This window comes from Homo sapiens, chromosome 10, assembly GCF_000001405.40.
Source record: "Homo sapiens chromosome 10, GRCh38.p14 Primary Assembly".
NCBI lineage: Eukaryota > Metazoa > Chordata > Mammalia > Primates > Hominidae > Homo > Homo sapiens.
The window spans coordinates 112,377,216-112,392,630 of record NC_000010.11 but is presented as its reverse complement, the minus strand read 5'-3'; the positions used below and the strand labels follow the sequence as shown (position 1 = coordinate 112,392,630).

The 15,415-nt window shown below is 43.7% G+C and overlaps 1 protein-coding gene across 4 annotated transcripts in view, besides 2 other annotated features; it reads right to left on the bottom strand.

Moving 5' to 3' along the window:
* The window catches only part of ACSL5 (acyl-CoA synthetase long chain family member 5), a 54,261-nt gene that overhangs the window by 35,746 nt on the left and 3,100 nt on the right, over window positions 1-15,415 (bottom strand). The gene's annotated exons all lie outside the window — the stretch shown is intronic.
* Window positions 2,953-3,002: a silencer, noted in NCBI's record as "silent region_2834". NCBI's record gives its function as "represses an Ori minimal core promoter by ATAC-STARR-seq in GM12878 lymphoblastoid cells {active_cell/tissue: GM12878}" and the evidence as "EXISTENCE:reporter gene assay evidence [ECO:0000049][PMID:35858748]".
* Window positions 3,023-3,152: a silencer, noted in NCBI's record as "silent region_2833". NCBI's record gives its function as "represses an Ori minimal core promoter by ATAC-STARR-seq in GM12878 lymphoblastoid cells {active_cell/tissue: GM12878}" and the evidence as "EXISTENCE:reporter gene assay evidence [ECO:0000049][PMID:35858748]".

Sequence of the window (15,415 nt, the reverse complement as noted above, 5' to 3'; positions counted from 1 at the left end):
TAGCTGGGACTACAGGTGCCTGCCACCATGCCGGCCTACTTTTTTGTATTTTTAGTAGAGACGGGGTTTCACTATGTTGGCCAGGATGGTCTCGATCTCCTGACCTCGTGATCCGCCTGCCTTGGCCTCCCAAAATGCTGGGATTACAGGTGTGAGCCACCGTACCTGGCCAATTCTTTAATTTTTTGTAAAGACACAGCCTCACCATGCTGCCCAGGCTGGTTTCAAACTCCTGGGCTCAAGCGGTCCTCCCACCTTGGCCTCCCAAAGTGCTGGGATTACAGGTGTGAGCCACCGTACCTGGCCAATTCTTTAATTTTTTGTAAAGACACAGCCTCACCATGCTGCCCAGGCTGGTTTCAAACTCCTGGGCTCAAGTGGTCCTCCCACCTTGGCCTCCCGAAGTGCTGGGATTACAGGTGTGAGCCACCACGACCACCCCAAGCTGGTGATATTTTATCTGGGCTTTTTCCCTCTGCCTCAATCCCACCCACAAATTAAGAGATCCTTACCAACACCCTCCTGTTCGACTATGGAAAAAAATGGTTGCACTAAGGATTTCTGCCCTCTTCTTCCAGATGGCACATTTATATTTTAATAGGAGACTTTGCAAACAATGTCTTTGAATCAGAGTCTAAAAGTTGAATTTCTGTTCAGTTGTGGTGATATGGGGGTGGGGTCAGGAAGAAGAGTGAATAACCTGACTGGTAATACATATGGGAGAAAAGGGACAGAGAATCTATGGCGTCTCAAGGGGGCACCTGCTGTCAATCTCAGGTGATTGTTACCATATAGTAACAATACTATGGGTCACAGATTGTCAGAATTCTGCCCCCTCCCTAGATAATCCAGAAGACTGCATTTTTTGAAACCTCAATTTTAACTAACAACCGTTTTTAAGAGTCTGGCATGGGATAAACAAGAACACATTTCATAGTTTAATTTGGATCACGGTCTGTTAATGTTTGACTACTCCTTTGAGACAGACTTCAATCATATTGCCCACAAACAGAACGAGACTGACCACTTCATTACAAACAAGGGAGATATTTACACATTTCAAAGCCACAGTTTCATGAGAATGAAAATACCTTGCCTATATTGGCAAGGGATTTTATTTGAGGAAGACAATGAAGGAAGGATTTATTTGTATTTGTCAATGGAAATAGCTTGCTTAGTTTGCTACCACTGACCAGGTATCCAACTCAAGTAGGAGGTGCACAGAATTTCACATGGTTCCTTCCTCAATTTTTTTTTTTTTTGAGGCACAGTCTGGCTCTGCTGCCCAGCTGGAGTGCAGTGGTATGATCTCGGCTGATTGCAACCTCTGCCTCCCAGGTTCAGGCGATTCTCCTGTCTCAGCCTCCTGAGTAGCAGGTGCCTGCCACCATGCGCAACTAACTTTGCATTTTTAGTAGAGACGAGGGTTTCACCATGTTGGCCAGGCTGGTCTCAAACTCCTGACCTCAGGTGATCCGCCCGCCTTGGCCTCCCAAAGTGCTGGGATTACAGGCATGAGCCATTGCACCTGGCCCTTCCTCAATTTTTAAAAAAATTGAGATACAATTTACATAATGTAGAATTAACCACTTTAAAATGTACAATCGGGCAGTATTTAGTACATTCACAATGTTGTGCAACCATTACATCTATTTAGTTCCAAAACATTTTCATCACCATAAAATACGAAACCCTGAACCCATTAACAAACCCTTCAATGCCCAGCCTCTAGAGAAAGGATTAGGCTGCTTTCTGTTGCTATGGATTTATCTATTCTAAATATTTCATATAAATGAAACCATATATGTGACTTTTTGTGTCTGACTTCTTTTACATAGTATAATTTTTAAGATTCATTGATGGGGTAGTATGTCTGTACTTCGTTTCTTTTTATGGCTCAATGTTATCCCATTGTATGGATAGACTACACTCTATCTATCTATCTATCTATCTATCTATCTATCTATCTATCTATTTATCTATCTACCAGTTGATGAATATCTGGGTTGTTTCTACTTTTGATATTGTGAACAAAGCTATTACGAGCATTTCTATACAGTTTTTGTTTGAATATCTTTTTCCAGTTCTTTAGGGTGTAGACCTAGGAGAGAAATTGCTGAGTCAATGCGAATTTTATATTTAACTTTTTGCGGAACCACCAAAGTGTTTTCCACAGTAGCTGCACCATTTTATATCCAACCAGCAATGTAAGAGGGTTCCAATTTCTTTCCCTTCTCCCTAACACTGCTACTTTCTCTTTGTCTGTTTAAATAGCCATTCTAGTAGGTGTGAAATGGTACCTCATTGTGGGTTTGATTTGCATTTCTCTAATGACTAAGGATGTTGAGCATTTTTTTATGTGCTTCTTGGCCATTTGTATTTCTTTTTTGAAGAAATGTCTACTCAAGTCTTTTGCCCATTTAAAAATTAGGTCATATATATATATACACACAACACTTATCAGAGATATGATTTGCAATATTTTCTTCCATTCTGTAGGTTGTCTTTTTACTATCTTGATAATCTCTTTTTTATTTTTATTTTTTTACAATTAACAATTTTATTTTAGATATGGTGTCTCACTATGTTGCCCAGGCTGGTTCTGAACTGCTGGGCTCAAGTGATCTTCCTACCTCAGCCTCCCAAAGTGCTGGGATTACAGGCGTGAGCCACTGTGCCTGGTGTATAGTCTCCTTTTTAATGCCCAATACACTCAAACATTTTTAACCTTACAAGATTAGCGCTGAGAGGATTTGCAACCATATCATGTAACTCTCTCACTGTTTAAGTGGAAGAAACTAAGGGCCTGAGAGAAGGTGAGACTCCTGGGTCAAACCACGACAGGAGTAGGAAGCTCTGTTTACCATTCTAACCATTAGAATCTGTTAACACTTCCAAGTAAGTTCAAAGAAACAAGGGGGAAAAAAGTCACCCTCCTTTTGTCACACGTCCTGTGTGACTCAAACTACAGCTCTGGTTTAGTCACTCCACAGAATCCCCTGTAAGCAGTGGGCGTGACTGGCATTTCCTCTTCCTTTTAACATCACTCCTGGTTACGGTAGGGAAAAGCACAATAGTGGTAAAGAAAAGAGGAAAGAGGGCTCTGTCATGCTGTGTCTGGGATTTCCTGTTTCACGTAATATACAAATAGCTGAACAAGCCCCAGTACACACCAGGATGTCCCATGTCAAAAGGCTTACTCCACTTTTTGACGTGGTGATGGTGACATGCCTTGGCCTCAGACCCCAGGATGCCCATTTGTCCACCATCCTTGTCCTTGATCCACTCCAGGGCCTTCCCCTCTCCTGTGGATGGATGACTGGAGCCACAGTCACTCATCTCCTGGCTCCTAACATGTTTTATTCCCAAGTTAGCTGAAGGACGCCTTCTGCCTTCACACCTCTGTGCATGCTTCCTGGACCATTCTTGGTGTCTAGGTTATGATCACCCCATATTCAGCTTCGGATTTTTTTCCTTTTGTGGACTTGGGGCAGCATGTCTTCATTTAGTCTCCTTTTCTTTGGATAAATGTCCTAAATGGCTCCTTCTACTCTAATATTTAAATTTTTGGTCAACTATGTTTATTGCTATGAATCTTTCATACTATCCCTATTGGCTAAAAATCATTTTCTTTTGATAGTCTCTATCTTTTAAAAGATTGTATTTTTCCTATGTATATATCCCACTCAAACCCTATTCGAAGTCTGTTCCCATCTGGAAGCCTCTGTATTTGCTCTTCTCTTTGCCTGGAACATTTCCCCAGATCTGAAATGGTTGTGTATTGCTGATAGGTCAGGCCTCACCTCAAATGTCACTTCCTCGGAGGCTCACTGTTTCTGATCACCTTATTGAATATTGTCTTTACCTTTCCAGTCAGTGTCATGGACTTTGTTCTCTTCTCCATGACACTGTTCACTGGGAAATAGTCCTAGCTCCTTATCACTCATTGTGCCAACTGAGCTGATGTTCTCTTTGGAACAGAGATTTTAATTTTGTTTACTGCTGTGTCTCTGATGCCCCCACCATGCCTGGCACATAAAAAACTTTCAACAAGTGGTTGTTGAGCAAATGAACAGTTTTCCAGGTCACAATTGTTTATTCCATATACTCTCAGTTAACTCATTTTCCCTGCAGTACAAAGACCCCACCCTTAAACCCCCAAATCTTAGATCATAAGAAGTCATTCAGGCCAATCTGGAGAGGATTGCTCCCTAATCAATACTTTGGTAAGGTATTGGATAGGGATGGTGGCTGGTGACAGGGGTGTATTTCTGACACACATTAAGGACTATTCAAGATCCTTCTACTCCTCCAGGCTTAGAAGAGTTGGAATGAAGTTATCTACATGGGATAAGTAGGTAGAAAGTCCAGCCAAGAAATAAATCATACTGGACTAGGAGCGGTGACTCACGCCTGTAATCCCAGCACGTTGGGAGGCCAAGGAGGGCAGATCACTTGAGGCCAGGAGTTCGAGACCAGCCTGGCCAACATGGCGAAACCCCATCTCTACCAAAAATACAAAAAGTTAGCTGGGCTTGGTGGCGCATGCCTGTAATCCCAGCTACTCGGGAGGCTCTGGCACAAGAATTCCTTGAACCTGGGAGGCGGAAGTTGCAGTGAGCTGAGATCACACCACTGCACTCCAGCCTGGGTGACAGAGCAAGACTCTGTCTCCAAAAAAAAAAAAAAAAAAAGGAACAAATAAATCATTCTGTTACCTTTGCTTTTAGGCCTGGAGAACTATTATTTTTTTGTGCAATAATAAGACATAAATTGCAATTATAAGCTTTAAAAAAATCTGCCTTCATTAATTTGTATTTAATTGATTTCTGTGTTCTTTTGCATGTATGGGCTCATCCTATGGTGATAGAAAGCTAATTAAAAAGGAGACCAGCATCCTCAAGTTCTTACACCCAATTAGTTAACACATTCTTCCATACTAGGAATTACCTACTCTCTCCTAGAGACTATGTCAAAAGTCTTTACAACTTATAATGACTCCAAAGGGAACTGTGTGTTATTTACGAGGCTGTATATGAAAGTTTTGCTTTTTGAGCTGGGATTTCCATTTCTAACCCAGCTTCTAAAATCATTTTTCCTACATTCCTGCCACCCTCAACCTAGGAAACCTCTCTCTCAGTCCTTGACTACAGAGTCAGTATTTCTAGACAAACCCAAAAGTAATGACAAAAGGCCAGTATGAAATTACAAACCATTAGCATCATGAGCATACCTGGAAAGAGCTGATAACCTTTTCCTTTATATGCTATGAACGTGAACCAGGTGTGTGTTCTGTTGCAAGATCCTTCACCCAATTTCCTCAGAGCCCTGGGATGAAGGGCTTTTAAAAAATCATTTCTTAAACTAGTTTGCTTTTCTGTATCATAAGTAGTTTTCTTCTACTAGGGATATGACAGATGAGGTGATTTGAGACAATGATCTTGCTTCACAAAACTCAGTCAAAGAAAAGCATCATATGGAAAAAGCCCAGTAGATTGTCCCCCAAGGGAAGCTATTCTCAGCTACCCAAGCTATTTAAAATGATTCAAAATCCAAGGGGTCAACATTCAGATCTGACATAAAAATCTGTGGTCATATCTCCCAATTAAAAAACAAAACAAAATTTAAAAAAAGAGCTGAGAGGAGAAATTCTAAAAACCCTCTAAGGAAATAAGAGGTAACTAGTATGTTTCAGTTTTATAATTACTGAGATAATTTGGAGGTGGCCAGTTACTAAAATTGGTATGCAGAGAGTTAATAGCTTTCCTATATTTTATACAAATAACTGATTTAGAAGTCATGAAAAAGATGCTATTCACAATAGTGTATATAAGAATAAATGCGTAAAACCTATATTTTAAAAGTTTAGATCTGAAGTACCTAAGAAGGCTAGAAAAATGGAAAGACATACCTGAAATATTCAAGGTTCCTGTCACCTTAAAGGTATCTATACATTTAATGCAACCCTAATGAAGGCTTTCTTAGGAACTAAAATGCTAATTCTAAAGTACATCCAGAAAAAAATAAAACTTAACAAAGAGTGAAACAATTTTGAAAAATAGCAGGAATTGGGTAGGTGGCAGACCAGCAATCATTACCAAATTTAAATACTTACTATAGAGCTATAGGAGTTTTCTGGCCAGACACAGTGGCTTATGCCTGTAATCCCAGCACTTTGGAAGGCCGAGGCGGGCGGGTCACTTGAGGTCAGGAGTTCAAGACCAGCCTGGCCAACATGGTGAAACCCTGTCTCTACTCAAAATACAAAAATTAGCTTGGCATGGTGGCGTGCGCTTATAATCCCAGCTACTAGGGAGGCTGAGGCAGGAGAATTGCTTGAACCCAGGAGGTGGAGATCGCAGTGAGCCGAGATTGCACCACTGCACTCCAGCATGGGCAACAGAGCCAGACTCTGCCTCAAAAAAAAAAAAAAAAAAAAAAAAAAAAAAGAGCTATAGGAGTTTTCTATTGGTCATGAATAGACAAACCTATTTAATAAAATCATCCTGAAACATGCCCAGTAGATGCTATTATCATGTACTAAATTGCATTTCAAATCAAAATAGGTATTTTTTCACTTAAAATAAACGTACTGAGACAACTGGCTAGCCATTCAGAGAGAATACATTAAGCTGTCTACTCTCTTACTCCTACAACAAAAATAAGCTGAAGATAGGTCAAAGACTTAAGTATAAAACAATGAAAACAATAAGAATGGTTGGGGTGAAAAAGTATGGAGAGATTTTCTCTTATAATTTGGCATGGGGAAGACTCAAGACAGACATAACACCTAAAATCTATAAACAGAAATGTTGGCAAGTTTGATTATATAAAAATAAAAATTTTCCCGCAGAAAAGATACCAGAGACAAAGACACGTTGAGGAAAAAGTATCAACCCCCTCAGATAGGCTAAGAGTTAATTTCTTTAATAAGAAACTCAGACAACAATGAAAAACAAAATATAACCCAATAAAGCAAGGGCAGAGCTTGCTGAAAGTTCACAGCAAAACAAGCAAGTTATTTACAATTAGGGAAAGACATTCAACTTTGCTTATAGTTCTTAAGAATGCAGATTTAAATGACATGCCTTTTCCTCGTGCATCAGATTCCAGTGATGAAACGGTGAGAAATGCAACGTGAATTGTGGAAATGTACATTTGACGCTGTCTCTTAAAGAAGTCCCTATTGCCCTCTACACATCATAAAATGTATGCCCTTTCACCTAGTAATTCTACCATCAGCTTATCTCATAGAAAGACATCAGATCAATAAACTACATCACAAATGACATGTAAAGTACAGGTTAAGAATGTTGGCTCAGACTAGTTGGGCTCAAGCTCTTCTTGGTCATTTTCTTTGTGACCTGGGGCAGATAACTTAATTCTCTGTGGTTTCTCATCTATAAAATGGCAGTAATGGCATCTCCTTTCTAAGGCTGTCACCATGATTAAAAGAGTTAATGGATATATAAAGTGCTTAGAACCATGGCTGGCACGCAGGTTCATGTATTAACTATTATATTTATCACCTTTAAAGCTGTAGAATTGTTTCTAATCCAAAAGCCTAGGAAAGCCTTCCTTGATAGGAGAAGAATGAAACAAATTACAGTACTTCCACACAATGGAATTCTGGGCAGGTATTTTAAAAAAGAAAGTCGATCTGTAGGTAATGATATGAAAAGAGCTCATGATGTACTGCCAGGGAGAAAGAAAAAAATATTTGGACAGTGTGTACATTATCTTCTCAATTACAATGAATTATATACGCATTTGTGTTTCTGAAAAGACAATCCTCATAGAAAAAGAGAGATGGAGGTCGGGTGCAGTGTCTCACACCTATAATCCCAGTACTTTGGAAGGCTGAGGTGGATATATTGCTTGAGCCCAGGAGTTTGAGACCAGGAGTTTGAGTCTGGGGAACACGGTGAGGACCTGTCTCTACAAAAAATACAAAAATTAGCCTCGCTTGGCGGTGCATGCCGGTAGTCCCCACTACCTGGGAGCCTGAGGTGGGAGGATCGCTTGAGCCAGGGAGGTCAAGGCTGCAGTGAGCTGTAATTGTGCTACTGCGCTCCAGCCAGGGCAACAGAGCAAGACTCTGTCTCAAAAACAAAACAACAAAACAAAACAAAACAAAAAAACAAGAAAAAGACAGATGGAAGAGGAGAAATCATGACTGGATTTCTTGAAAGTCTTGTCTACTCCATCATTCAGCCAAAAGCTATTGAAGGGCTTGGCTGTATATGTTGCATTGTTCCAGGTGCTGGGGATATAGCAGGGAAAACCCTGCCCTCGTGAGATTGCATTATATTGGGGAGTTTGACAACAAGCCTGAGCAATAACTAGGTTACTTAGGACTACGGAACAACAAAAACAACAAGAGTAGGGAAAGAGAACTGGGGGTACAGCAGGGGGATGAGATTTTTGTTTTTTGTTTTTTTTTCTGAGACAGAGTCTTGCTCTGTTGCCCAGGCTGGAATGCAGTGGTGTGATCTCGGCTCACTGCAACCTCTGCCTCCTGGGTTCAAGCGATTCTCATGCCTCAGCCTCCCAAGTAGCTGGGATTACAGGTGTGTGCCTGGCTAATTTTTGTATTTTTAGTAGAGACAGGATTTCGCCATGTTGTCCAGGCTGGTCTTGAGCTCCTGGTCTCAAGTGATCCACCTGCCTCAAGCCTCCCAAAGTGCTGGGATTACAGGCATGAACCACCGCGCCTGGTGGATGAGTTTTAATTAGGGAGGCGTAGCGTAGTCTCAGTGGGAAGGTAACACTTGATGTGTACTGTTTAATCTGAAATATGCACACTTACAAAAAAAAAGAATAAAATGAACAGCTCCATATAATCCCACCTCCAACACAGGCAGCTAATTTAGAAAGTTCTACCACCTTGGTTGGTGGCATTTCATGTGAATGCACCTAAGTGTACACCTCAGCTTTGTTTCTACAAGTGTGGCTCTCCCGCTACCAAAACTACATTTGACACACAGCCTCTTCCAAGCCCTCATGTTGTGTAAAATGCTTCTCAGCCACTGAGTAATCCAGCTGGACAGCAGCTCTGTGGGTGGAAACCTTTTTCATCCATTTCTCTAACCGATAAGAAACCAGAGCAAAGGTGAAGGCTGAGTCACAGGGCCGAGGGGCCCTGAAACTGTGTCTTTCAATATTCATTCCAAGTAGCTAAGAAGGAAGGATGGCCTGAGATCCTGACCTACAGCCTGCTGATAACTTCCCAGCCATTCACCAGTTGCTCAAGCCATTGTCTTATAATAGCCATGGCCCCAGGCAGATGGGAAGGGCCTTATTTTATTTATTTATATATTTATTTTGGGACAGAGTCTCGCTTTGTTGCTCAGGCTGGAATGCAGTGGCGCTATCGCAGCCCCATCCTAACATGCTCAGCTCACTGCAGTGTTAACTTCCCAGGCTTAAGTGATCCTCCCACCTCAGCCTTACAAGTATCTGAGACTACAGGTGTGCACAACCACACTCGGCTTTTGTTTTTTGTTTTTTGTTTTTAAGTTTTTTGTAGAGATGGGGTCTCCCTAAGTTGCCCAGCCTGGGCTTGAACTCCTGGGCTGAAGCGATCCACCTGCCTCAGCCTCCTAAAGTTCTGGGATTACAGGCATGAGCCATGGCACCCAGTGGGGAAGGTCCTTCTTATCATCTCCGCCGAGAGGTGGTGGACAGAGCAGGGAGACAGCATTACCAAAGGGAGCCCTGTTAAAACACCAGGTGGTAGCTAAGTAGTAGTTTCCACACCATGGAAAGATTCAATTCGATTGCTTACGTAATTTTTTAAAAGATAAGTGATAATAACCTCTCATATCTCTCTTCCAAGCCCAATTGCTAGACAGCATCTAACAGTCCCAATGTGTAAGACAGCTGGCAGAGAAAGGGTTAAGAGTCTAGGCTTCAGACAGGTGTCCTGGGCCACAGGCAAGCATACCATAAATAAATCATTAGGGCGTTCGATGCAGCTCCACTGGTAAAATCTTTGCTGCTGAATTGCACAGGAAAAGCTACAGGAGCCAGAGCTCAGAAGAGATAGAAGAGGTGGAGCAGAATAAGCCCTTTCCTCGGGTTTGGGTCCCAGTGAGGCTTCCTGGGACTCATGGATCTGTGTGTCAATAGGCCTCCCAGTGCTGTGAGCACTCATGCACATAGTGACCATCCTCACCTGTGGATTCCACTGCACCTAGCATGGCACCTGAGACACAGTGGGAAGCTGCTGTTACCAAGCCACCTTCACCTTTTACTCACCATTGGCACAATTTGAGAGAAAGGCAACTAGCGAGGAGAGTCTGCTGAAGGAAAGTTTGCAGTGTTCAATCCCACAAGGAACAGAACATGCTTCTATGCACACAGCAGGACAGGGTCGGCGGAGTCTTCCTCAGGAATGCCACAGCCAGGGGCTTCATGCCATGAGAAGGGCAACGCTAAGCAGTCCGACCTAAGTGAGGGCGGGTTCCCTCATAATGTATCCATTTGGGTATTCAAGCACCTACTGTGTGCCAGGCAGTGTGTTTAGCACAGGAAAGCATGCTCAGAACTTCTGGTCCAGTAGAAGATAAAGCCAATTCCCCAGGCAGCCATGATGCTTTTGAGACCAGTGCTCTATGGGATGCACCTCAGCTTTGGCAGCACCTGGTGGGCTGGAGAAGTGTCTGTGTGGCAAGGGATACATTTACTCTCTGCACTTTTAACTTATTTACACATTTACTTTTTATTTTTTTTGAGACGGAGTCAAGCGATTCTTTTGTCTCAGCCTCCTGAGTAGCTGGGACTACAGGCACGTGCCACCACGCCCAGCTAATTTTTGTATTTTTGGTAGAGACTAGGTTTCACCATATTGGCCAGTCTGGTCTCAAACTCCTGACCTCGTGATCCACCCACCTCGACCTCCCAAAGTGCTGGGATTACAGGTGTGAGCCACCGCACCCGGCCTCTTTTTTTTTTTTTTTTTTTGAGACAGTCTCACTCTGTCACCCAGGCTGGAGTGCAGTGGTACGATCTTGGCTCACTGCAACCTCCGCCTCCAGGGCTCAAGCGATTCTCCTGCCTCAGCCTCCCGAGTAGCTGGGATTACAACAAGCATGCATCATCACATCCGGCTAATTTTTGTATTTTTAGTAGAGGGGGTTTCACCATGTTGGCCAGGCTGGTCTCGAACTCTGACTTCAAGTGATCTACCTGCCTTGGCCTCCCAAAGTGCTGGGATTACAAGTGTGAGCCACTGTACCCAGCCTATACGTTTATTTTCAGTAAAGTAAACAAAAACTGTGGACCTGTGTGTTCAGCACTGTGCCATGTGCTGAGGGATGAACACTTGGCCGATATAGTTCCTGCCATCTGGGTACTTATGGGTCTATCTAGTCCTAGAAACTCTTACAGAATGCTTCAGTGTGTGCAGTGAGCTCATGGTTTTGAAGGAGGAAGAGGTCAGTGCAGACTGGAGCACATTAAGACGGCTGTATGGAACACTAGAACCTCAAAGATGTGTGATCCTTGACCCCCTGGCTTTATTGCCAATTGTCTCTTTCCAGGGGCAAGGATGATGATCTGGCCAGACATGATGGCCCATCCCTGTAATCTCTGCACTTTGGGAGGCTGAGGCTGGAGGATCGTTTGAGGCCAGGAGTTTGAGACCAGCCTGAGCAACATAGTGGGACCCCATCTTTACAAAAATAAAAAATTTAGTTGGGCATGCCTGTAGTCCCAGGTACTCAGGAGAATGAGGTAGGAGGATTGTTGAGCCTGGGAGGTTGAGGTTGTAGTGATCCATGATCCCGCCACTGCACTCCAGCCTGGGAGCCTGGATGTGCAGAGTGACAAGAGTGTGACCCTGTCTTAAGAAACAAAACAAAAAAGGATGACAATTCTACCAATCAAGCTGATGTCTAGTAAGATCTCAACTATGATTCCAACCAGTGGGCCTGCCACCAAACCATCTTTCTCAACTGTTGTCTGTGTCTCTCTATCTACTTTCTTCACGGAGAGACCAATCATCTCATTAGGTTGGATGGAGCCAAATGGAAGTGGAGAAGGGGAATGGCCAGATGTGCTAGAGGCACTAAAGTGGGACAAGTGGGACATTTAGGGGAGGGAAATGGTGAAGAGGTATTTCTGCTGGAGGTGGAGGGTCCATCTTTAGTTAAAAGGTTGGGGGGCGGGGGGTGGCAGGGGGAAGAAAAAGTCTCCAAGGATGAATGAGATGGTGTGTGGGGCCCAGTGTAGACACTGCACCTCTGGAGCCATTGCCTTCACATACTCCAGAGAGCCTGGGTGGGGCCAGACATTGGCCAGTTGAGCTGAGTAGCATTTATCAGGAGATCTCATGTTAAGTCAAATACCAAGAGCCTCTTAAGTCAGTCCATTAAGATAGCATAGGATAGTTGAGTCACCCACAGGATGTGACCCCAGAAGTGACAAATCCCACAGGAGCTCAGGTCGATAGAGTCAACCTTGATCCACCACTGGGCTTCAAGTGAGTCACAGTCCAAATCCCGACCCCGGGACAACTTGTGTCAGTAACACCCCCAAAGGGCATCCCAGGCCTGCTGCTGACCAAGTATATTATGACAGAACTGGGGTAAGAAGAAGCAGTGTCAGAAGTCCACTGGATCTGATAAGGGGGTCTGTAAAAAGATAGGCCGGACAAAGTGCTAGGACCCTGTCACCTGTGCCAGGGTGAGGCAAGAGGTTGGGAAAGCAGACTTCTTGCCTTAGTTTTCTGCAGAATCAGCCCTTGCACTGCCTGTCCCAACCAGTGGTCAAGGGTCAACAGTTTCAAAGTGCAGGCAACAAGCTTTCTTGTCAACGGTGTCATTGCCAGGGGCAAACTTTCAAGGTCGTGCCCTTCCAGGTACCAGAGCAACAGCTCCTCACTTACTACATGTGTAGCCCTGGGGACAGTTACTTAGAGTCACTGAGCATCAGTTCCCCGCCACTGTACACAGAAGGAGCAGGTGAAAATCGCTACTTAAAGGAGATGCTGTGTGTAGAACAGTTGGTATGCTGTCAGGCACATGGGAAGTCCTCAATCAAATCTAGCTCCCCTTTCCTTCCCTTTTCCTCAGTTTTCACATCCTTGCCAATATCAGATGTTCTATTACGAGATGTCCCAAAAGAAAAGAGATGACCACGGTCTTGAACGATTACTGCCCCTCCACTTCTGTGCAAAGGTTTTAACAAGCCCTCATCTCTTTTTTTTTTTTTTCTTTTTTTTGAGATGGAGTTTCACTCTTGTCACCCAGGCTGGAGTGCAGTGGCGAGATCTCAGCTCACTGCAACCTCCGCCTCCTGGGTTCAAGCGATTCTCCTGCCTCAGCCTCCCGAGTAGCTGGGATTACAGGCAGCTGCCACCACGCCCAGCTAGCTTTTGTATTTTTAGCAGAGATGGGGTTTCACCATGTTGGCCAGGCTGGTCTCAAACTCCTGATTTCAAGTGATCTGCCTGCCTCGGCCTCCCAAAGTGTTGGGATTACTGGCATGAGCCACTGCGCCCGGCCAACAAGCCCTCATTTCTATTTAAACAGAGCACTTCTAGTTGTAGGGAACCATGGCCTGTCTCTGACCTAGCTTTACCCCAGACCTCAAATCCTCAACTTGAGCCACTCGCAACCTCACAACTCTTAGAATAGAATGGCCCATGAAGACTGGGAGATCCACCAGCTTCCCCAAAGAAGGCTAATAGTGTGGCCTGACCACAGCATTGCACGGGCTGTCTGACCTTCCAAACTCCAGATCTCATGTATTTATTCAAACAATGAGTTGAGAACCTAGGAAGTGTCAGGCCCTGCGCCAGGGAGGACAAGTTGGTGAGAGAGTCCCTTTCCGACCTCAGGATGTACAGACATAGAGGGGAGAAATAGACCCAGATGCATTTCCAGCAGAATGTGATAAGCAGTGATGGCTGGACTCATGGCTGCTGGGGTTACGTCACCCTTGCTTGATGCTGCCAGGCACAAGAGTCACCTCTGACTGCACTCCAGCTGAGGGTCTGCTCATCTGCTGAGGAGGCATATGAGAGACAGACAGGAGCAGACACTGTATTCCTGGTTTCTAAGAAGCTGGCAAATCCTATAGGCCAGGTGCAGTGGCTCACACCTGTAATCCCAGCACTTTGGGAGGCCTAGGCAGGCAGATAACTTGAGGTCAGGAGTTTGAGACCAGCCTGGCCAATATGGTGAAACCCTGTCTCTACTAAAAGTACAAAAATTATTTGGGCATGGTGGTGCATGCCTGTAATCCCAGCTACTCAGGAGGCTGAGGCAGGAGAATTGCTTGAACTGGGGAGGCAGAGGTTGCAGTGAGCCAAGATGTTGCCACTGCACTCAAGCCTGGGAGTCTAGGTGACAGAGTGAGGCTCCTCCAAAAAAAAAAAAAAAAAAAAAAAAAAAAAAACAAGAAGAAGAAGATTGTCTTGATTAAATATAAGAGTACCTACTGTGTACTGGTACTTCCCTGGCTTCATCTTCCCTCTCTCCATTCATTTCTCTCTCCTTCCTCCATCTCCAGCCTCCATGTAGTATCTGTGGTCTCACTATAGGTGGATGGTTAGGTATGCAATGACACGCTGATGTTGTTGTTGGTGTCTTTGCCCTCAAAAAATTACAATATAGCCTGGGAGAGACTATTTTAGGTCAGGCTAGGCTGAAATATTCTGTTTGGTCTGGATTAAAAAGTGTTTTCTCTTTTTTAATAATTAAATTTGAATGCATTTATCTGGGGTATGCCTGCTCTGAATTTTGCTAAAGTTTCCACCATTAGCATCTTATTACACACCATCTACTTTACTTCTCTATATTACTTGCCTGTCCTATAAGCATTTGCACTTACACTTCTTGTTTTATTTAGGTTTTTGTTCCTTTTATTATGCCAAATACACAAAAGATGGCTATAAAATTTTACACCATGCCTCTTTCAAGACATGTTCTGTGTTTAACCTTGAATACTGATCAATCGGAGGGGACTACCACAGAGTGACTCCATATCAGAATATGAAGGGAGAAATAAACAAAACCAATTACTCCTTTTTTAAAAGAAAACTAAGTCAGTTTTCAATGTTTTTTTATTTGTTTGTTTGTGTGTTGTTTTTGAGCCAGAGTCTTGCTCTGTCATCCAAACTGGAGTGCAGTGGTGCCATCTCGGCTCACTGCAACCTCCGCCTCCTAGGTTCAAGCAATTGTCCTGCCTCCTGAGTTGCTGGGATTACAGGCGTACGCCACCACGCCAAGCTAATTTTTGTATTTTCAGTAGAGATGGGGTTTCGCCATGTTGGCCAGGCTGGTTTCTAACTCCTGACTTCAGGTGATCCACCCACCTCAGACTCCCAGAGTTCTGGGATTACAGGTGTGAGTCACTGCGCCCGGCCTTAACTTTATTTTTTAAGACTCTGCCTCTGATATAGAATACT